Source organism: Homo sapiens, chromosome 5 (genome assembly GCF_000001405.40).
Source record: "Homo sapiens chromosome 5, GRCh38.p14 Primary Assembly".
Classification (NCBI taxonomy): Eukaryota; Metazoa; Chordata; class Mammalia; order Primates; family Hominidae; genus Homo; species Homo sapiens.
The window spans coordinates 172,549,230-172,571,741 of record NC_000005.10 but is presented as its reverse complement, the minus strand read 5'-3'; the positions used below and the strand labels follow the sequence as shown (position 1 = coordinate 172,571,741).

General features: G+C 51.2%; 1 long non-coding RNA gene across 1 annotated transcript, besides 1 other annotated feature; it reads left to right on the top strand.

Moving 5' to 3' along the window:
- Positions 1–12,727: 12,727 nt before the first annotated feature.
- On the top strand, positions 12,728–15,017 carry LINC01944 (long intergenic non-protein coding RNA 1944). Its single transcript, NR_146726.1, has 3 exons — positions 12,728–12,803; positions 13,647–13,875; positions 14,240–15,017. It is a non-coding gene; the product is annotated as a long intergenic non-protein coding RNA 1944 (long non-coding RNA).
- Positions 20,542–20,836: a silencer, noted in NCBI's record as "tiled region #3838; HepG2 Repressive DNase matched - State 21:Repr, and K562 Repressive non-DNase unmatched - State 21:Repr". NCBI's record gives its function as "represses a minimal TATA promoter and a strong SV40 promoter by Sharpr-MPRA in HepG2 and K562 cells {active_cell/tissue: HepG2 | K562}" and the evidence as "EXISTENCE:reporter gene assay evidence [ECO:0000049][PMID:27701403]".

Below are 22,512 nucleotides of genomic sequence, written 5' to 3'. Positions count from 1 at the left end.
AGAACCCTGGCCCCCTGGGCAAGAAGAAGGTAGGCCAGGAAGAACTGACTTCCCCTTTCTGAGCCCTGGCATCCTCATCTGTAGGATGCAGATAGCAGCAGTGCCCTCCTGACAGGGATGTGGTGTGGCTCTCACAAGGTGACCTCACAGTGCACTGAGTGAGACTCTGAAGGTGCAGGTGTAGAGACAGCCACCAGGCAGAAACATGCACTGTGCCTGGAGACACAGCTCACAGGTGCTGGGCTCTGCAAGGGGAGAAGGAAAGAGACGGGCAGGGAACAGACAGAAAGAAATGCAGGGAGAAAGCCAGAGAGTACGAGGGCCAGGGAGGAAGGGCTGCAGTGCTGGCTGAAAGTCCCTTTCAGGAGGGGACTCCAACACTGCACCACATCTGTATTTCTGTGAGTAAACCCCTCCTGATCCCTCACCTCACATGTTTAGGAAATGTCCCTCACTCACAAATGTTCAACCAGCTTGGAACGGAGGGGGCTTCTCCCTCTGCTTCCTGTTAAACTGGGTCATTCTCTTAAATCCTCCTTCCTCCCTAGGAGCCAGGGACAAACTCCATGTTTGGGGATCTTTTTCTTCCTCCCTTCCCTTCCCTTTCCCTCCCTCCTTCCTTCCTTCCTTCCTTCCCTCCTTCCCTCCTTCCTTCCTTCCTTCCCTCCTTCCTTCCCTCCTTCCCTCCTTCCTTCCCTCCTTCCCTCCTTCCTTCCTTCCTTCCCTCCTTCCCTCCTTCCTTCCTTCCTTCCCTCCTTCCTTCCCTCCTTCCCTCCTTCCTTCCCTGTTTCCCTCCTTCTTTCTCTCCCTCCTTCCTGGATCTTTTCTTCCTTCTCTGTCTTCCTTCCACCCTCCCTCCTTCCTTTTTTCCATCCCTCCCTTCTTCCTTTCATCCTTCCCTCCTTCCCTCCCTCCCTTCCTCCTTCCTTTTCCCCTCCTTTCCCTCCTTCCTTCCGTCCCTCCCTTCTTCCTTCCATTCTTCCCTCCCTCCCTTCGTCCTTCCTTCCCTCCTTTCCCTCCTTCCTTCCATCCCTCCCTTCTTCCTTCCATCTTTCCCTCCTTCCTTCCTCCCTTTAACAGGGAAGAGAGAAGAAAATGTATTGGCTTAATATTTTCAAAATATTCCTAGAAAATTTTCATCTCCATCTGACAGATGGGAGGGGCTCAGAGCTACACAGTGAGGACTGTGACCAGGTCGGCCTGTATTCTTAACTACAAAGCTCTCCTGCCTCCCTGGACATGACAGGTCAAAGTTGTTGACTCTAAAAGGCCATATAGGGCTAAAGCGGTGATGACATCCCCTCCCCCTCTCCAGATTCCCAGCCAGAACCTCAGAGTCCCCATGCTGCCCAGGCGCATGGCCACAGGGAAAGAGGATCTTGACAGAGTCACTCACTTCTTTGCCTTTAAAGGAAATGCCCAGTAAACAACCTTTCTGCTTTGAATCGAGCCCAGATGGTGGGATTTTAGGCACTCAAGAGGGGGATGTCTTCAGGCCAGGGTGCCGCTGAGAAGCCTCCCCAGTCACTGCCCAGGATGACAGCCTGCCCTTAAATGAACACGCCACCTTAAGTTAACCCACCACCTTCCCTCAGAACAGGACTGACGGGGCTTGGCCTCTTGGCCGGCTCCTGTTGTTCTGACAGAGACAGGTGGGACGGGGCGGGGCGGGGCGGGGGCAGGAGAGAAAGCAGATCTCCGACCCGGGTGAGTGTTTCCAGCAGGGTTTAGGCTGTAGTACACCTGCCTTGAATAGTTCCCTCAGCAAGGAGCTTTTCAGCCAAAATCAGGGGGACTTTTCCATCTGGACAACATCAGATTCTTGTCTAACTCAGACTCAATGTAAACGAGGTGGTGGGGAGTGGAAGGGAGCACTGGGTGATGGGTAATCTCCATCCCACCCCATCCCCAGCACCACGAGAGCACGTCCCCACATGGAGCCTCGGAGTCCCAGCTGTGTGGTGAGCCAGGTAGACCAGATGATCCAGAAGGACTCTTCCTAGCTCTCCCCATTAGGATGCCTGTGGCGTGAGGGGGGCGACCCCCTGTGTGCATGTGTGGGTGGTGAGGAAGGGATGTCTATCGCCTCCTGAGCACTGCAGTCAGAAAATCTGAGGCCTCAAAGAAGACTGGAACATGTAGGTTTGATAGGCCATCTGAAGAAAAACAACCATCAAAGATTTAGGAGCCAGGTTGCCCTGGGTTCAAATCCAACACTAAGACGCTGTGTGACCTTGGGCCATCCAGGTCTGAGCCTCAGTTTCCATGTCCCCCCATGGTTCACCCACACCTTCCAATGGGCAGGGCTCCGTTAGGACATGTGTGGGCCCTAGGCCATTTGTCTCTATGGCCCCTTATTCCAGAAAAAAATATTGATAACTATGAATGCATTGGTATAGAGACGAATATATCCAGAGTACATTATATTCATTTTTTCTTGTGATTTTACAGTAAATCAGAACATTTTTGTGGCCCCTGCAAGTCTGGTGGGTTCTAAGTGCTATACAGTGCCCAGGAGAACCTCTCTCCTGCTAAGTATTTATGGGGAAGCCTTGTCGAGATCAGCACTTCCCACAAAAGGATGGGGCTTGGAGGCTGGGAATTTCTGGGAGTGTGGATGGGGGCTGGATGAGGGCAGGAGTATCAGGAGCCTGCTGGTTTTGAGCTCAGTCAGATCCAGGAAGCCCGGCAGTCCGAGTTCCCAAGAAGCAAGAGTCTGACTCGGGCACATGTAGTGCCCCAGGACCTGGGGTCCTACACTTGCTGGGGTGACACCAGCTCACCCCATGTTATTTGCTGATAAACTCCCATGGGCCAGGCCTATAACACACCAAGTGCCTTGTATGTACAATCTCATTTAATGCAGGCAAGATTATTATCCCCATTTCCAAATGGAGAAACTGAGGCTTAGAAGGGGCTTACCTTCTCCTTCTAACTTATCTCCCGAGCTTCTCCTGGGGTCTGATAGAGCCATTGACTGGCCCCTGATCCATCCTCTGGGCCTTTGCACATGCCACCCCTGCTGCTGGGAACTCCCTCACTGCTGGAAGCTCCCTGCTGGGAATATCCCCCCTGCTGGGAACTCCCTCACTGGTCCCTTCCATACCCTCCTTCAAGGCCCAGGTCCAGCCCCACCTTCTCCAGGAAGGCTTCCCTGACTGCTTCTGCTCCTTGTGACCATCTTGTCCTTTGAAATCCCTGGACTTTTTCCAACAGTACATTTATTTAACCCAATAAATGTTTACTGTGCATCCACCCTGGGCCAGGCCCAGGGCATCTTGTTGGACTCAAGACACAAAGGCAACTCGGTCTAGGCTGGACTGGAAGGAGCTCCCGCCCTGTCCTGTTGTGGGAGACAGGCATCCATGGCTTGTGATGTGACAGTGCAGACAGTACAGTCCAGGACTTAGTGGCAGAGGACCCTGAGGCTGTTGACAAGAGGAGAGAGGGCCCCCCCACCCCACTTCTGAAGGGGTGGATGTTGGAGCTGGGGATGGAGGATTGGTCAGCATTTACCTGGCCTGGAGGAAGGGAAACCCAGGGAATGGTTCAGGCAAAGACCCAGCAGAGGAAGGGGCGTGGCTCTTTGTGAAGGCCACACTGGCCTTTATTCTGTTCTCAGATTCACTGAGCTCAAGCCTGCCCCAGCCCCTTTGCACTTGCTGTTCCTCCGCCTGAAAGGCCCTCCCTCCAGAGCCTCCCGTGGCTGGAGCCTGCTCCTGGTCCAGCTTGCATCTCCTCAGAGAGGCCTTCCCCGGCCACCCGCTCCAGCACCTCTCCTGCCCCGCATCCCTCTCTGGCCACCCCTCTGCTTGATTTCTTCTTAGCACACATCACTCTGTGAAATTGTTTCTTTATTTGCTGGTTTCACCTGCCTCCCCACTAGAATGTCAACTCCATGGGGCAACAGGGACCTTGCCCGTTCACTGTGGTGCCACCTGGAACAGATAATGGCACAGGGTAGATGCTCCATCGATATTTATGGCAGAAGGAAAGAGGAAAGGAGGGGGAAGGGAGGGGAGGTGGCAGGGAAGGAGGGGAGGAGAGGAAGGGAGGAAGGAAGCGGTGAATGAAGGTAATGCATCCGATAGGATTTGGAAGATAACCTAAGTATACTCAATCTGGTAATCTGAAGAGTTATTTTCAAAGGGGTGGGCAGAGTGTAGGGAAATCAGCATGGCATAGTACAAGCCCAGAGCTGGGCAGTGGGGAAGCTGGTCATGCCCCGGGCTGCAGGCAGTGTTGCCTGGGCGGAAGCCAGCCCACAGAGGCCCTATAGGGACGCAGCTGCAGCAACGGTGCCGTGGCCCCTGCCACACTCTTGTCATCTGGACCCAGCTAGAAGTCACCATGCAATGGAGCTACTATAGAGGCCATGGAGGTTGGCTTCCAGGGGCTCAGGTCAGGGAGCTGAGTGGAAAGTGAGTCCAGAGCCACACAGGGAGAGTAGAGGTCAAGGAGGTCATCTGCAGAGACCATAGGGCCCGAACTCTGTTGTTCTGCTAGAACCCAGCTCAGGACTGCACCAGGACTGGGGACACCTCCCTCCCTCCCTGTCCATCAGGGCTCTGATGTTGGTGGGAAACAGTTGTTTCGGCGGGTCCTATCTAGCTTCAGCATTGTTAAGATGTCACTGAGTGTCATCTGAAAATAGAAGGTGCCTGGGCCTGCCATGGAAACACTATTGCAGGAGGAGGCGTGGCCTTCTGCGCCCGCCTGTGGGTGAAAGCGGCTTTCGTCTGAATGCCTGTTCGGCCACCAAGATAGAGTGAGCGTCTTCCAAGAGCACCCACATGCCAGGCACTGGGTTAAGCTCATTCCAGACATCATCATGTTATTTTATTCTCACAGCAACTCTCTGTGGGTGGCCTCTTCTTCTCCCTGTTTTATAGATGGGCAGCTGAGGGTCAGGTGGTAGTAACTGCTCAAGACCACATCCAATAGGTGATGGGGCTGGTATTTGGATCTGATGCCAGAAGCAGGTTTCATGAGTTCTCAACGGAGAGAATGTCCAGGAAACCAATCAACTTAAGAACCATTCCATCCATCCATCCATCCATCCATCCATCCATCCAGTGCAATAATCAGTTATAAGAAGAGCCAATGTTTTTCGAGTGGTTACTGTGTGCCCAGCCCTGTGCTGAGGCTTTCTCACACACTCTCTCAGCTAATCTTTATAATAACATTGGAAAGTAGGTACAGTTCCTACCTCCACTTTATTAGTTGTGAAACTGAAGCTCAGAGAGCCCAAGCAGCTTGCCCAAGGCCACACAGCAAGGAAGAGGTAGGACAGGCACTTGAGGCCAGAGCTCCTCACACTCACCAGCCAGGCCCTGTGCCAGTCGGTGTCAATTCACATGTGAATGAGGTCTAGGCCTTTCCCTAGAGGTGTTCCTTGTGGAGGGAGGTGACCTTGAGGAGAATTTGGTGGCCTTTTTCTTGGAAAGGTGTTTCAGAAAACCCTACCTACCCCTTTTGACAAACTTCCAAAGATGCTAAGCCAAGTGGCGATGTCTACAGAGAGGTGGAGTGTCCCAGCCCAGCTCTGTTGGCCCCACCTTCCTGCACTGGTGCAGTGGGGCAGCCCCTCCTACCTCTCCGAGTGCCTCACCTTCCCCTTAATGGGGAGAGGGTGCCTCTGGGCGATGGTGCTACAGACGGGAGCCCGGCCTTGCTGCAGCTTCCCAAGGACAGCAGATGGAAGAGGCCATTTCCTTCCCTCCCCAGCTGTCAGGAACTGAACTGTGTCATCCCCAAATTTACACGTTGGAGTCCTAACCCCCAGTATCCCTAAATGGGACCTTATTTGGAGATAGGTTCTTCACAGAGGCCATCAAATTAAAATGAGGTCTTTAGGGTGGGCTATACTCCAATATGACTGGTGTCCTTATAAAAACACAAAATGCGGACACAGAGAGACAGACACAGGGAGATGTGAAGATAAAGGCCAAGATCGGGTGACATGCCCACAAGCCAAGGAACACCAAGTGCCTGCAAACCGCCAGAAGCTCAGGGAGAGGCAGGGAACAGGTCCTGCCTCACAGCCTCAGAAGGAACCAATCCTGGCAGCACCCCGATCCCGGACTTCTGGCCTCCAGAGCAGTGAGACAATGCACTTGTGCAGTTTAGGGCCCCCAGCGTGTCACATGTTGCTACAGCAGCCCTCATAAACTTGTGCTTCTCCGCAAGCACTCAGCAGGAGAGAGCTGCCTTCTCTGCGAGGGGCAGGCCTTCTTTGCCAGCAATCTGGGTTTTCCCACCCCATTTCTGAATGTTCCCTGGCAGACCACAGGAGAAAAGGAGGTCCCAGAGAGAGCAAGTCTTCCAGGCCAGACAGAGGCTGTGGCAGTCCCCAGCATCCTCATTCAGTCCTCATTCAGTCTTCCTGCCAACCTTAGAGGGGTTCCCATTTTACAGATGGGAAAACAGGAAGAGAGGTCTTTGTCTAGGGTGTGGCAGAGCTGGGATTCAGATCCAATTCCCTCTTATTCCGAGCCAAAGATAGAACCACCATGCTCTCCTGTTTTCCAGGGGGCATGACAGTGGCAATCCAGGCAGAGCTGTCCTTGTTCCCTGGGAAGTTGCCCACAGCTTGTGTACTGAGTCCTCCTAAAGCCCTCCCGGAGCCAGGTACTGCCTGAGAAAAGCCACCAGCTGCCATCAGCGTAGCAGGGCCCACTAGGCTGAGACTGGCTGCCTGCCTCATCCCTGGATTTCACTTCCTGCAAAGCCCCTGGGCCACAAGCGACATGCCCCTATTCCTCTGCAGAGAGAGAGGTCTTAAGAGAAATGGTGTGTCTTCAGTGGGCTCTGCACCCTTTATTTCTCCCAATCTGCTCTTGCCAGCTCCTTCCCCAAACTCAGCCCCAGTTGGGTAGTCAGCCACCAAGTCTGATGTCCATAGAGCTGGGTTCAAATCCTGTTTTTGCTTCTGCTAGCTGGGTGGCCCTGGCTAAGTCATTGTCACTCTGAGTCCTCATTACCTTATTGGTACGACAGGGGTAATTAGAGTACCCACTTTACAGGGCCATTGAGGGGAGCAAATGAAAGGAGGATGCACTATTGCGCTTAGCACCGCACATCATGTCCTCATCTGTACAGCGGGGATGGAAATCCTCACCTCCAAGAGCTGTTGGAAGACTTGAATGAGGAAACGCATATGTTGCTGCCTGGTCACTGGTTGGAATTTACGAACAAACCAGGAGTATCTCCTGCTGCCAAGCTGCTCCCCAGCTTTCACAGAGCGGATCAAATGAAACAATGCAGGTGAAAGCTCCCAGCACATGGCAGGTGCTCAGCCAGCGTCTGAGCCTGAACAAACAAGTTGAGTGTTTGCCTAAGACCGTGTGTATCAATGTGAGCGCTGCTCGTGTTGGTTCACCCACCCATGCTGCTTAGCGTGCATTTACTCAGGCAATCGATTAGGAAAGGGATCTTATCTCTCAGGAATGGTGAGGGGCCTCCCAGGCCGTGTCTTGCAGGGGCAAGACCTACCTGGCAGCAGCAGTCCCGATACAAACCTCAAAGGAGCCCTTTGGCATGGTTCTGGGCTGGGTATACGAAGCTTGTGGTGTTTTCTTTGCTTGTTTATTTGGCTTATAACCTTCTGGGATGTTCATCTGCTGGCTCTGTTCCCCCCACTCCACCCTGTGCATGATGGGAGGGGACGGGGAGGAGGTTGTCATCAGCTCATCTTTGTCCCCACTTCTCCAGAATCTCCTTGGGAGGGTAGCTGGTCTCCTGTCTGATGGGATCTGGGAGTCGGAAGTTTCCTTAGTTGGTAGATGGGGATACTGAGGTCCAAGAAAGGCAATCAAAGCTAATGAGAAACCAAGGCAGCATGCAAGCCCAGGGCTTCTGATCCCACATGAGGGAACATGGCTGGACAGAAAGAAGGGCTTACTGACTGATCCCAGGCAAAATTTGAACAGAGACCTCTAGGAGAGTTGCAGTAGGATACCTTTGTGGTTGGAGACAGTTTTCTTACTGAGGCTTAGCATACTAGGAAAACCAAAGCTGGGAGAAGAGGCAACTTGCCTAGGGTCCCAGAGCCACTGGGCTGTGGTAGCAGAGTCTTGGAAGGCAGGTCTCTCCTGGACAGCACCTGGGGGTGTGGGCTTGCCTGGGATGTGCTGCTGCTGGGGGTGGCCTATGCTGGCCGGGGGCTCTCCTTTCTGTTCCCCAAATGGTCAAGTGCGGGCATGTGTGCTTGGCTGGTGGAGTCCGGGTGGCTTGGCCTCACTCCCAGGTTCACCTGGCATTGGGTCCCCACAGCCAGCCCCTTCCCAGTGGTCTTTGATGCTGTTCCTGGAGCCCCCTTGCTTGCTTTTGAACCCATCCCTTTTCTTTCCAGTTCCATGGACCAAACCATGACCTGAAGTCCACCCTCTGCCCTGTCAATGCTGGCAGGAGATCACCACCATTTTGTCAGTGTGAGCACTGCCAACCCTCCCCTGGTTCTTGCTGCTTGTGATGTAAATCCATTTTAACCAGCTCATAGCAGACCTGCAGAGGGTGCACTGACTTCTTCTCTGCCCCAAGGGCAGAAGACTGTGAAGGTAGCTAACACAGTGCTTGGCACAAGTGAGTGCTCAATAGCCATCTGGCCTCTGCCACCCTTTATGTCTTCCTCTCCTGCCTTTCTCTCCTGGGCTCCCTGGGCTTCCGCCTCACTGGCCTCCCCACTGTTGCTAGGCAGCACCAAGCTTGTTCCTACCCCAGGGCCTTTGCATTGTGTTTCCTCAGGCTGATACACACTTCCAAGCTCAGCTCTTCAAGTTTGCTGTCTCCTTCTTGTCACTTAGGGCTCAACTCAAATGTCACCTACTCAAATCACCTTCCCTGACCTCCCAGACTAAGGTCACAGCCGCCAGCCCTGGTGGCTCTCTATCATATCACCCTGTTTTATTTTCTTCATGGCATTTATTACTTTCGGAAATTATTAATGTTTAGAATCTCTTTCCTCCCCCTATATGTTTAACTCCAATATGACGGAGTCCTTGACTCTCACATCTACTGCTATGACCCCATACGAGGAACCATGCATGGTATGCCGGAGGCAATCTCTAAATATTCACTGGGCACACAAATGAGCAAATGCAGAAGTTCTGAGTGTACAGTGTCAAGTCTGAAGTAGCTGGCCTTGCTAGCAAGACGTTTCTTTGAAATCTTATGGTTTATCTTTAAACGTCACATGAATTTTGCACGGTCATGCATTATCTCCATGTTTGTTTCAATTTTTAGAAATGGGTTTTTGCCTCCATAAAGATGAGTAAAACGAAGCCTCTTGGAGGGTGCATTTCACTTCTCCTGTAGCCTTGTAAGCTCTTGCACTATGTTGGAGAATCACAGATCTGGCCCGCATGCTGGCAAAGTGCACAGACTCTATGCATGACACGTTATAGGGAAACGGTCTCTCCTGCCCACTGCCCATGGGGTGTAGACTGAACCAACCATTTAGGAGAGCAATTCGGCATATCCAATAAAATGGAAAATGTACATATTCAAAAACCATAGTAGACTGCAAAAAATGGCCCCAATTCCTCCCCTCCCTGTGTTCATACCCTTTGCAATGTGACTTGCCACTCTTCCTATCAAGAAGTGAGTTTTCCAGTCTGAGCAATAATGAGACTTCCATTCTACAAAAAAATTTACAAATTAGCCAAGCGTGGTGGTGAACACCTGTAGTCCCAGCTACTCAGGAGGTTGGGGTGGGAGGATCACTTGAGCCCAGGAGGCAGACTGTAGTGGATTTTATTTTCCCATCTGTTGAATCTGTGGGGTCTCCTGATCTGCTTTGGCTGATAGAATGGAGCATGAGTGATGGTGAGCCAGTTCTAAGCCCAGACTTCAAGAAGCCCTGAGTAATTCCACTCTCTCTCAGGCCCCTGTCCCCACCACGGGAATGAACCCAAGCCAGTCTGATTGAGGAAGAGAGGCCACATAAAGCAGAGATGAGTTTCCCAGCTAAGACCATCCAAGACCAGCCAGCCCCCAGCTGACCCGCCAGCCAGCCCTGAACACATAAGTAACACTCAGCTGTGATCAGTTAAGCTGAGGTCAGATCAGCAGAACTACCCAACCAACAACCAGTTGACTGATGAGAATAAACGATTGTTGTTTTAAGCCATTAAATCTTGAGTTGTTTGTTACACAGTATTGTTGTGGCAATAGATAACTGATACAAAACCTTGATGGTTCCACTCCTTGGAATCTGCCTTGAGAAACACACACATATCAGCAAAGAAAGCAAGGACAAGGATGTTTGTTGCACCACTGCAACAACAAAACACCACGAGCAAACCTAAGTATCCAGCAGTAGGAAAATTGATTCATAAACTATGATTCATCCTTACAATGGAATTCTAACCAACAAAAAGAACAAGGCAGATCAACATGTACTGACATGGCAAGACCTCTAAGAGAGTTTGATGATTGGGAAAAGCAAGCTGAAGAATGATTTGTACAGCATTTTATCATGCATGTAAGAACACACCCATAAAAACATATACTGGATATTTGTGATGGGGGGGACATGTCTGCAAATATAAAGAAGGGGCTGGGCGTGGTAGCTCACGCCTGTAATCCCAGCATGTTGGAAGGCTGAATCAGGCAGATCGCTTGAGCTCAGGAGTTCAAGACTAGCCTGGGCAACATGGCAAAACCCTGTCTCCACAAAAAAAAAAAATTAAATTAGTTGGACATGGGGCACGCATCTGTGGTCCCAACTGCTTGGGAGGCTGAGGTGGGAGGATCACTTGAGCCTGGGAGCTGGAAGTTGCAGTGAGCTGTGATCGCACCACTGCACTCCAGCTTAGGCCATAAAGCAAGACCTTGTCTCAAAAAACTAAAAATAAAGAAGGATCTCTGAGAAGAAACAAGGGGTTATAAAGGGATCCCTCAGTGCATTCATGGGAGTCTCAAGTCTTACATAAGACATTTTTCCTATTCTTGCAAGATGAATACATTTATGTATATTACTCATGTAATAAACCATTCCAGTTTTAAAAGTTAGGTTAGGAGAGGTAGGGATAATGGCACATGATCCTCTAATCCCCTCCCAAATTTCCAAGGTCTTCTCATGGGAGTGTCAAGGCCTTGGTTCAAGACTCCCCACATTTCATTTTCAAAATCCCATATGAGATGCAAGCCTGTGAAAAGATACTTAACATTATTAATCACCGGAGAAATGCAAATTGAAACCACAGTAAGATACCTACTAACCCCTACTAACAACATGGCTAAAATTTAAAAGATTTCCAATATCAAGTGATGGCAAGGATATGGAGTAACTAGAACTCTTAGACATTGCTGATGGGAGTGTAAAATGTACAGCCTCTTTGGGAAAAGACTGGAAGTTCCTTATAAAACTAAACATACATTTATAATATGCACTAATAACTCCACTGATATTTACTCTCCTGGTATTTACTCAAGAGAAATGAGAGCATATGTTCACCCAAAGACTGGAAACAACCTAAAATGGTTATTAGTAAATGAATGAGTAAATTAATTGTGTCGTGTCCACATAAATGCAATACAACTTGGCACTAAAAAGGAATGGACCCGGCCGGGTGTGATGGCTCACGCCTGTTATCTCAGCACTTTGGGAGGCCCGGGGGGGGTGGATCACTTGAGGTTGGGAGTTCGAGACCAGCCTGGCCAATATGGTGAAACCCTATCTCTACTAAGAATACAAAAATTAACCGCGTGTAGGGGTGCACGCCTGTCATCCCAGCTACTAAAAATACAAAAATTAGCCAGGCGTGGTGGTGGGTCCCTATAATCCCAGCGACTCGGGAGGCTGAGGCAGGAGAATTGCTTGAACCTGGGAGGCGGAGGTTGCAGTGAGTCGAGATCGCGCCACTGCACTCCAGACTGGGCGACAAAGCAAGACTCCATCTCGAAAGAAAAAAAAAAAAAGGAATGGACCTGTGATTCACTCAGCAATGTAGGTGAATCTCAGAAACATTTCGTGGCATGAAAATAGCCTGATGCCAAAGAGTCCATCCTAGGTGATTTCATCCATATAAAATTTTAGAAAAGGTGAAACCAACACATAGTGACAGAAGGCAGATTAGTGATTAGTTAGGGCAGAGTGGGTATTGACAGATGGGGCAAGAGGAAATGTTATTGGAGAGATTCTAAATCTTGATGGGGGGGGGTGATGATTTTTTGGTTTTGTGGGTTTTGTAGGTTTTTAGTAGGTTTATCCAAACTGTGAATTTTATTGTACGTGGATTATATCTCAATAAAGCTGAGAGCGTGCAAAAGACTTTATTCCTTCCAGCCAGGTCCATGGGTCCCAGCACTGCTGCCTCCTTAACTGGTTGCAAAACAGAAACCGGCACTCTCTCTCCTCTCTCCTTTCTCAGGTTCCTGGGCCAGTCTCCCAAGACAGTGAGTAATTAGCCGCGAAAGAGTCTTGGATGTGAAGCCAAAAACAACAGCAGTGTCACATCAGATGCTGAGACATCTCCAGCTAAGAGCTGAGCTCAGCCCCCACCCGCCCCCTCCACCCCCCAGCCGCAGCCACCAGCAGAAGGAAAACAGCCCCGTGCGGCTGAGTTCAACCAGGGCTGCCTTTCTCCACCGTGTCCGCCATTCTGGTCTCGTGCCGCAGCAGGCATTGCTAGATGATTGCCGTCATGGCTCATACTAACAATAAATAGGTCCTCCCGGGGACCCACCACCCAAACTCCTTGTGCCGGGAACAGCTACTAAAGGGGAGGCCCTTTCCATATTCCGCTTCATTCTCCCCTCCTGGCGTGCCTCAAGGAACGACCACTGTCCCCAGGTTACAGGTGAGGAAGCCGAGGCTCTGAAATATGACTGCGCCAAGTGGCCAGAATCTCGAGCAGCCTGACTGCCTCCCGCCCCAGCCCCTGGAGGCCTCGAGTCCTCCTTTACAGAAATGCCTCCCACCCCCAGCCCAGTTCATTCCAGCAGCCTCCGAGCTCCCCCTTCTCCATCCCTCCCTGCGGTCTGAGCCCTGCCTTCCGAGCCCTGCCTTCCCAGTGTGGAAGGGGAACTGGGTGGGGTAAGGCACCTCTGTTTTCTCACGAAAAAGTCCCTCTCTAGGGCGGAGGCCCTTGAAGAAGAAGGAAAGGCTGTGGGGATTGATGGGCCCCTGGAGGACTGTCATGGGGGGTGGGTGTCTGCAAGTCCAGAGGCACATCCTGCCCCCTTTCAGGGGCCTCTGGTGTGGGGTCTGGAAGTGAGTGGCTGGTGCAGGCTGTGGTCTTCCTGCTAAGCCACTAGGGCTGCTGGGGCCATAGCCTCCAGAGCCTGCTCACAACTGGTCTACTCAGCCTCCAGTCCAAGCCGCTGAGCACAGATCTCAGGGCCCTGCACGTTCTGGGCCGTGCCTCCTGACATCTGAGATGAGAACGAGCCCTCCAGGAGGTCCCATATGATGTGCCCCTGTGACCTGCATTGTCTGGAGGCAGTAGACCCAGTAGTTGGTGACCAGGAGTGAAAATCTGAACAGTCTCCTGTGTGTCCCTGGGCAACTTGCTCAACCTCACTGATCTCTGAAAATGGGCACGATAATAGGACCTGGGTGGTTGAGAGTACACCACAGGACCACATGTGCCTTTCTTGGCCCACACTGGTCCTTCTGCCTGGAATTATTTTCCACTTGTCAGGTGCTTCTTCACCCCAACAAGGCTCAATCAAGTGTGTTCTTCTCTGGGAAGCTGCAGACATCTGACCCCAGGCCACAGAGTCATACCCAGTCTGGCTCCCACAGCCCTCCCAGGCTGTCTGGTGTCAGTGCAGTGCTGTGGATGGGAACACACCTCTACCATGTTGAGCTGCTCTGAGGTTTAAATGCGTTACTGCTAATTGGGATCTTGGAACAACTCCTGGTGCATAGTGAGTACTCAAGAAAATGTGATGTCTCTTTATTCTCTTAGCAACTTTTGTCCTGGGTGAAAGTTGTCTGCCCTCCTCACCGGCCTGCAGGCTCTTCTAGGGCAGGATGGGGCTTGGTTCCTGTCTGCATCTGGTGAATCCCCTGACACACATTAGGTATCCTTACTCAAGGGAAGAGGGGCTTGCCTTTGGGACGGGGATGATGAAACTCAGCAGCCTTTGCAGGGTTTGTGATTTAGCCTGTGTCATTTTTGTGTGTCAGCGTAACTCTGGCTTGGCTTAGCTCTGTCAAACTCTGTGGGATAAGAAGAGCAGAGCATGAACCTGAAAACACACCCCAACCCCAAATTATTTCTGTTTCCAGGACACACACAGGACAGACTGGAATAAATACTGGTGGTTTATCACAGGAAGGCTGGCCTCAGCTTGGGAGAGTAAGCGTGCATGCATACACAGCCAGCTGATTTATTGTGACCCGAGCCAAGCACTGAACAGAGCGAGGCCATTTATCTACTTGGTTGGAGGAGAGGTCAAGAGAGAGAAGTCAGAGATTAAGCTAAATAGTTCAGTGCCTTTGTTAACTCCCGGGGCGTCTCCTCTGCGCGGCTTGTGTTCCCAGGGAATACTGTCATGAGCTCCACAGGGAAGACTGGACTCCTTCTTGGGGAGACAGCCCTGGCCCCAGGGAGCAGCGTGGCCAAGGACATTCTCAGCCTCTTGGGGTTGCCAAAAGGGAGCAGAAGCAGGAGGAGGGAGGGGGGGAGCTGGGAGGAACACCCCATCGTGGAAGACCTGCTGCCAATGCGGGGCTGCAGTCCCAGTCTCTGCCGCCACCAGACCCTGGTCAGGAGACATCACAGACAGGCTCCCTTCTCCCGCCTTCATTCAGGGCTCTGCTCAAACAGCCCATTTGCAATAGGACTTCCTGCAGTGTCCTAGTTAAATACCCCAACCCATGCCCCCATCGTACGCTATCCCTTCCCCTGCTTTATGTTTCTTCATGGTGCTCAGCACCCTGACATATCTATGTCTGTATTTGTTTACTTATTGTTGGGTCTGTTTTTGAATGAAGTGCTATGTCTGTGGTGTAAAGTCCAACATGTGGCAGATTCTAGGTGCTCAATAAATATCTATTCAGTGAATGACGAATTGTTGCTAATAGTTTACAACTGCTGAATATGTGCCTAGATAAGCTTTGTAGATCTCACTGTATATAACACCTCAACAGTACCATGCTGTACATACTGTCCTTAGGCTCAGAGAGGCGAAGTGGCTTGCCCATGGCCACACAGCTGGAACCAGATTCAAACTCACCTGGCATCAGGGCCTGAGCTCTCAGCCACTCTCCCAAGAGAGGACATGGCCATGGACTTGTTTAGAGAAGGATTAGTCACGCCCCAGCCCAAGGCATCCTAGGAAAGGGGAACCTTGATCTGAAAAGAAATACTTTTTGCCTTCTCCCTGCCTTCATTCAGGGCTCTGATTCATTGCAAGAAGGCAAAAAAGAAAATTCTTTTTTAACAGTGAGATGACTTGGATGATTAAAGAGGAAGCTAAATATCCTAAATATTGAAAGCAAATTCCAGCCAGGCGCAGTGGCTCATGCCTGTAATCCAGCACTTTGGGAGGCTGAGGCGGGCGGATCATGAGGTCAGGAGAACGAGACCAGCCTGAAACCCCGTCTCTACTAAAAATACAAAAATTAGCTGGGCATGGTGGCACACGCCTGTAGTCCCAGCTACTCGGGAGGCTGAGGCAGGAAAATCTGGGAGGCGGAGGTTGCAGTGAGCCGAGATCGCGCCACTGCACTCCAGCCTGGCGACAGAGCGTGACTCCATCTCAAAAAAAAGAAAGAAAGCAAATTCCACCTAAAATGGAATTACCACTGTTTATTGAAAACCGCTGTGTGCCAGGCATCAGCCAAGAGCTTCCCGTCCATGACCCTGTTTAATCTTCCTGATAACCCCCAGCAGCACATTCTGTTATTATCACCATTGTAATAATAGCATGGCAGAGGAAGGCCTAGTTGTTTTCCTAGGGTCGCTGTATTAGTCAGGGTTCTCTAGAGGGACAGAACTAATGGAATAGATATACATATAAAGGGGAGTTTATTACGTATTAACTCACGTGATCATAAGGTCCCACAATAGGCCGTCTGCAGGCTGAGAGCCAGTCCGAGTTCCAAAACTGAAGAACTTGGAGTCCGGTGTTCGAGGGCAGGAAGCATCCAGCATGGGAGAAAGATACAGGCTGGGAGGCTAGGCCAGTCTCTCTTTTCGCATTTTTTTGCCTGCTTATATTCTAGCCGTGCTAGCAGCTGATTAGATGGTGCCCACCCAGATAAAGAGTGGGTCTGCTTTTTCCAGCCCACTGACTCCAATGTTAATCTCCTTTGGCAACACCCTCACAGACACACCGAGGATCAATACTTTGTATTCTTCAATCCAGTCAAGTTGACACTCAGTATTAACCATCACAGCCAGTAAGTTAGTGAGCAGCCCATCTCATTCCAGAGCCTGGGTCATCTCCTCTTTAACCTGCTGCTTTCATGCCTCATTGTATTAGACATAAAGTTGTAAGCTCCCAAATTGTACCATGCATTTGGCAAGGGGAGAGTCGGGGTCTGGCTTATCTTTTTATTCTCAGTGCAACGCTGGCTATAGGTGGGTGCTCGGTGAGGGTTTGCCGACTGGCTGGATGAATGAATGGAGGAGGGATGTGAGTGAAAAGGGGAGTGGTTTTCAAGTTAATCTGAAGACATCGTCTCTAGAACACTGAGGCCTAGATCCCTAGAACACTCTCAAGAACACTGCCTCAGAAGCCCACATGCGGCTCGTTAAGTGTTCAGATTCCTGGACTCCAAGGCAGCCTCTGGTCAGAAGACCTGAAGCCTAGAAAACTGCATTGCCAGGAGATTCTGATGTTCACCGAAGTTCGAGACCTGCAGCCTGAAGCTCAGCTCAAATATCCCCACTGAACTGGGGCCCCTTTCACACACTGGAGCCCCTGGATGCTGCCAATTGGCATCTGCCGGCTGCATAAACGAAGGCCGGCTGGAGGCGGTCCAGGGAAAAGTGAGAGAGATTACCAAGGGTGAGGAAGATGACTTATTAGGAAAGATGGAAGGAACCGACGGGCAGCGTTTGCATGAGGAAAAACAGGAGCCACACGTAAATCTTGAGGGCCAGCTGGCAGCCGATGGGGGAGAGGTATTATACATCCTTGCTCACAGGCATTACCGGGCCTAATGGGGGCAGGGATTATACGTGAGAAACTTGAACTCTGTGCCGGGGAGACATTTATAACGGGCGACTTAAGCTGCTAGCCCATTATGATTTTGCAACAAGATTCATCAACTCTGGACCTGGAAGACCTTTACGGAACATCTCATCCATTTGTATTCAAGCTTTTAAAAGGTTGTTAGAAGCAACAGATTTCTTTGTTCAAATGAAATTTTTTACATGATCCAAACATATAAGACAAATGAAAATGAAAATGCTCAGTCCACCACTCCCCCGGGGCATCTCCACAGAATTCCAGGGCCCCAAGGGACCCAGTGTGAGAGCCACTGACCCTCATTGGTGGATCCTCATTTTGGTCCTCATTTTGCATAAGGAGAAACTGAGTCTCCAAATAGAGAGATAGGACTTGCCCCAGGGCACACAGTGAGTTGGTAGCATTACCAGGAGCAGCCTGGGCTGCTGAGGGCTCAGGGTGGACAGATAAGTCTCCTGCCTTGGAGGAGGGCCCAGGCAAATCGCGGAAACAACAGCAGTAAAAACAGCGAACACACACAGAGCACTTTCTCTGTGCTGGGCTCTGTTTTCAGTCCTTGATTTGCATGATGTGGCTTCATCCTCACTACAGCCCTGTGGTGACTCCTGTTTTTAGGGTGAGGAAACAAAGCACAGAGAGATTGAACACTGTAAATGAGGTCACACAACTAAAAGGAGTAGAGAGGGAACCGGAAACAAGACCGAGGGGCTCCAGAACACATCCTTTCCTTACCCCTCCAGACTGCTACCCCCAAGAGCACAGAGGTTCTAAGTTGGAGTTGCTCTTGCCTGCTTCACATCATCCTCCCCAGAGAAGCCAGACTGTTGTTTTTAAAACACAAATCTGGCTGGGCGCGGTGGCTCACGCCTGTAATCCCAGCATTTTGGGAGGCCGAGGCCGGTGGATCACCTGAGGTCAGGAGTTCGAGACCAGCCTGGCCAACATGGTGAAACCCCGTCTCTACTAAAAATACAGAAAATTAGCCAGGTGTGGTGGTGTGCACCTGTAATCCCAGCTACTCAGGAGGCTGAGGCAGGAGAATCACTTGGACCCGGAAGGTGGAGGTTGTAGTCAGCCAAGATCGTGCCCTTGTACTCCAGCCTGGGCAACAAGAGCAAAACTCCATCTCAAAAATAAAAAAATAAAAACAAAACCACAAATATGATATGGAGCCCCTCTCCTGCTCAAGCACCTTCAGTGGCTCCCCACTGCCCCTTAAGATACCTCTCCAGCCTCATGTCAATGTACTGCCCCACTCCTTTCTGGATTCCAGCCACAGCAGCCTTCCTGGTTCTTTCCAGCCTCCCCACCTTTGTATATATACAACAGTGGTCTCCACATTTTGTTGACAAGCACCACATTCATAGAATTATTTTCAGCACACCTCCAATACTGGTACACTTTTTATCATCAAAAGTAGCTACCTGTACTTCTGTGCTAACATGTTGCATACATTTAAAGTATACTTCAATAGTTGAAATGAATGAAAGGCAAGATGAAAAATAGACATATAAGGCAAATGAAAATGAAAATGCTCAGTCCACCACTCCCCCTGGGGCATCTCCACAGAATTCCAGGGTCCCAAGGAACCCAGTGTGAGAACCACTGATCCTCATTGGTGGATCCTCATTTTGATCCTTTTATTGAATGTTTATCAAGATTTTTAAAAATTTAGTGATTTCTTCCTGTACCCCAGGGAATTACCTTGCACATTCCCCGGGGTGCCCATGGTCACATTCGAGGCTCCTGGTCTGTGCTATCCCTAGGCTGGGGCACCTGTCTGAAGCCACTGCTTCCGACCTTGGTAACCATCATTCTTCCTTCAGATCCAGGCGGTCACCTCGCTTCTTCCAAGAAGCCTCCTCTGCTCCAGGGCACCCTGAGTATCTTCCAGCCCTGGTCTCTCTCGTAATCATTTAATGGAGTCTTTTAAATCAATTGTTGCATCTGTCCCCCTGTCCAGACTGTGTGTGCCCTCCAGGAGGACGAGGCTGGGGGTGGTTTTATGTGTGACCCAGCACCCATCAACCAGGAGCTAACACCATTTGTTGACTGATTAGGCGACTAGCACAGGGCTTGGTACCTCATGGGTGATCTAAACTCTAGTCCAGTGGTTTTCACACTTGAGCAGGCAGCAGAATCACCAGGGGTTCCTTACAACACAGACTGCCAGGTCCCTCCCCAGGGTTTCTGATTCAGTAGGTGTTATGGGCTGAATTGCATCCCCCCAAAAAAAATTCGCATGTTGAAGCCCTAACCTCCAGTACCTCAGCATGTGATTGTATTTGGACATAGGGCCTTTAAAGAAGTAAATGAGGTAAACTGAAGTCGCTGGGGTGGGCCCTAATCCAATATGACTGGTGTTGTTATAAGAAGAGGAGATCAGGACACAGTGAGCCACAAGACACAGAAGGATGACCACCTGAGACACAGCAGGAAGGTGGCCATCTGCAGGCCAAGCAGAGAGGCCTCAGAAGAAACCAACCCGGGCTGGGTGCGGTGGCTCATGCCTGTAATCCCAGCACTCTGGAAGGCCAAGATGGGTGGATCATGAGGTCAGGATATCGAGACCATCCTGACCAATATGGTGAAACCCCGTCTCTACTAAAATACAAAAAAAAATTAGCCGGGCATGGTGGTGCACGCCTGTAGTCCCAGCTACTCGGGAGGCTGAGGCAGGGGAATCACTTGAACCCGGGAGGTGGAGGTTGTAGTGAGCCAGGATAGTGCCACTACACTCCAGCCTGGTGACAGAGCAAGATTCTGTCTCAGGAAGAAAGAAAGAAAGAAAGAGAGAGAGAGAGAGAGAGAGAGAGAGAGAGAGAGAGAAGAAAAGAAAGAGGAAGGAAGGAAGGAAGGAAGGAAGGAAGGAAGGAAAGGAAGGAAGGAAGGAAGGAAGGAAGGAAGGAAGGCAGGCAAGCAAGCTGGGCAGCACCTTGGTCTCATACTTTTAACCTCCAGAACGAAGAGAAAAGAAGTCTCTGTTGTTTAAGCCACCCAAACTACGGGACTTTGTTATGGCAGCCCTAGCAAATTATTACAGTGGGTCTGGCATGGGGGCTGGAATGTTGCATTTCTGACAAGCATGTGAATGACACTGATGCCGCTGGTGCAGGGACCACACTCTGAGAACCGCTGCTCTGGCCTCTGAGTGATGGGGAAGAAGGGGCTGAAGAATGAGGGAAGCCTGGAGGGGTAGAGGGGAAGGTTGCTGGCCAAGAATGCTGCCCTGGCATTTCCTGGGCTCCAGGGAGCAAGCGCTCCCCTGCGGGAGTGAGCCCTGGTATCGGCCGAGGTGTTCTGAGCTGTTACTCACTCTCCCTGCTCTTGGCTGGGGACCCTGGGAAGGAAGGGCTGGGAGTCGGGGGTCTCCCCAGGTATCACATCTCCCTGCTGGGGACTCCGGGAAGGAAGGGCTGGGAGTGGGGAGTCTCCCCAGATATCACATCTCCCTGCTGGGGACTCTGGGGCCCAGTCACAGGGAAGTCAGCTTGCCCAGTCTCTTCTCAAAGAGCAAGGCAGTGCCGGGCAGGCAGAGGCGGGAGGAAGCCAGCAAGTTGATGGAATCCTCAGCTCATGCCGAGAAGATGTAATTTTTTTCTCCCAAAGCTCTGAGTGAGTCTACTCATAGGGTCTACTCATAGGGTGTTACCTTGGTGGGCTTAACAGTCAGTCAAGGAAAAGACTCTCACCCAACTGTCCATGACAATCAGATTCCGCCCCAATGAGAGAGAGAGAACCAAAGCCAGCACCACTTGTGTCGGTTGGATTCCCCTAGATCTTGGATGCATGGTTGAAATCCTTTCCCACCAAGGAAGCCCTTCTCCAGTCCAGCACATGAGGCCATGCCCTCCATGTTTTTCTGTTCACAGAGCTTATCTGGTCTCCCACCCCAGATGACACAAGCCAGGACTGTTTTGGTTGCAAGTGGCAGAAGTCCAACTCCAGCTAGCTTTAGCCCAAATGGGCCTTTATTTGCTCCCAGGACTGAAAAGGCCAAGGGCAGAGCCGGCCTCAGGGGCTCTACTGTGTTGTCGGGAAGGGCCTCTTTGCGTGTGGCTCTGCTCTCTGTGGGGCTATCGTCTCAGGAGGCCCTCCCCACAGAGGCAAGATGGCTGGCAGCAGCACCCAAGACCCCACTGTGCCAGCTCAGCCACCCCAGCAGATACAGCCCTCAGCCCCAGCCTCCGGAGGGGCTCTGAGTGGCCAAGCCTGGGTCATGGAGCAGAGGAAGGTGTTTCCCCAAAGGGAGGAGAGGCCAATGGGCAGAAACATAAAGACACACTCTCCAGGGACTTAATCGGGCTTCCTGGCCCCCCTCCTCTTTGCCATGTGACCTTGGACCAGTCACTTCCTGTCCTGAACCTCAATTTCTTAATTAGCAAAACAGGGTGACCTCCCGCCTGTGAGGAATGCTTGAAAGCATTCAATGAGTTAAGGTGCATGAATTGCCTCGCATGGCACCCGGCATGCAGGGGGCACCAGGCCTCTGCCCCACTGCCCGCCGTGTGCACCCATACCCAGGCAGGGATGCTCCCAGCCTGCGGACGAGCTGCTCCTTAAACAGCAATTTAATTACACCCTTTCCCCCTCGCAGGCATCTCTGCCTGTGAGCTGTTCCAGCTGCCGTCTCTCCTAGCGCTCTCCTGAGACTATGAAGCTCTTAAGTGGAAGCCCCTAGAGACAGGTGACAGCAATAACTACTCATTCAACACACGTTCCCCAGCCCTGTTAGGAGCTCAGAAGTGTCCTGGGCACTGTGGATGCAGCCGACAGCAAGGCTGACCCGGGCCCTGCCCTCATGGGGTTTGCGCTCACCCACGGGTGTGCCCCTTGCTGTGCTGGCCTGTGTGCAGGCCATCTCCTTCGTCCTCCTAGCAAACATGAAGTTAATATTATCTCATTGGCTCCTTTGCGTTTCCTTGTGCTCATTTCACAGAGGAGGAAACTGAGGCTCAGGGGGGCAAAATCCCCTCATGTAAGTTGATCATTCAGCAAGTGAGAGGCAGAAATAAGACACTTCACTCCTTCACGCTTCCTTCCCGGACAAAGCCTGAGTCAGCCTCCACGCAGAACTCAGTGAAGGTTAATTACAGTGACAGCTCCTGTAAAAATCAAACAGGCCATCTCCCAGGAAGCTACAAGAGAGGAAAAAAAAATCCTTGTGCAAAGTCAACGCAGGGTCTGGGGAGAGCCGTGTTGAGTCCATACATGGAAATCCACATCCACCAGGATGGGCCGCCCCAGAGGCAGGCGAGAAGCCCCCAGCAGGCGCCCAGTATCAGGAGGAAACGAACAATTCAAACTGCGACCAAGAAGCTGAGAGCAGACAGGCTGTGTTGAAACAACTGGCCGAGCTGC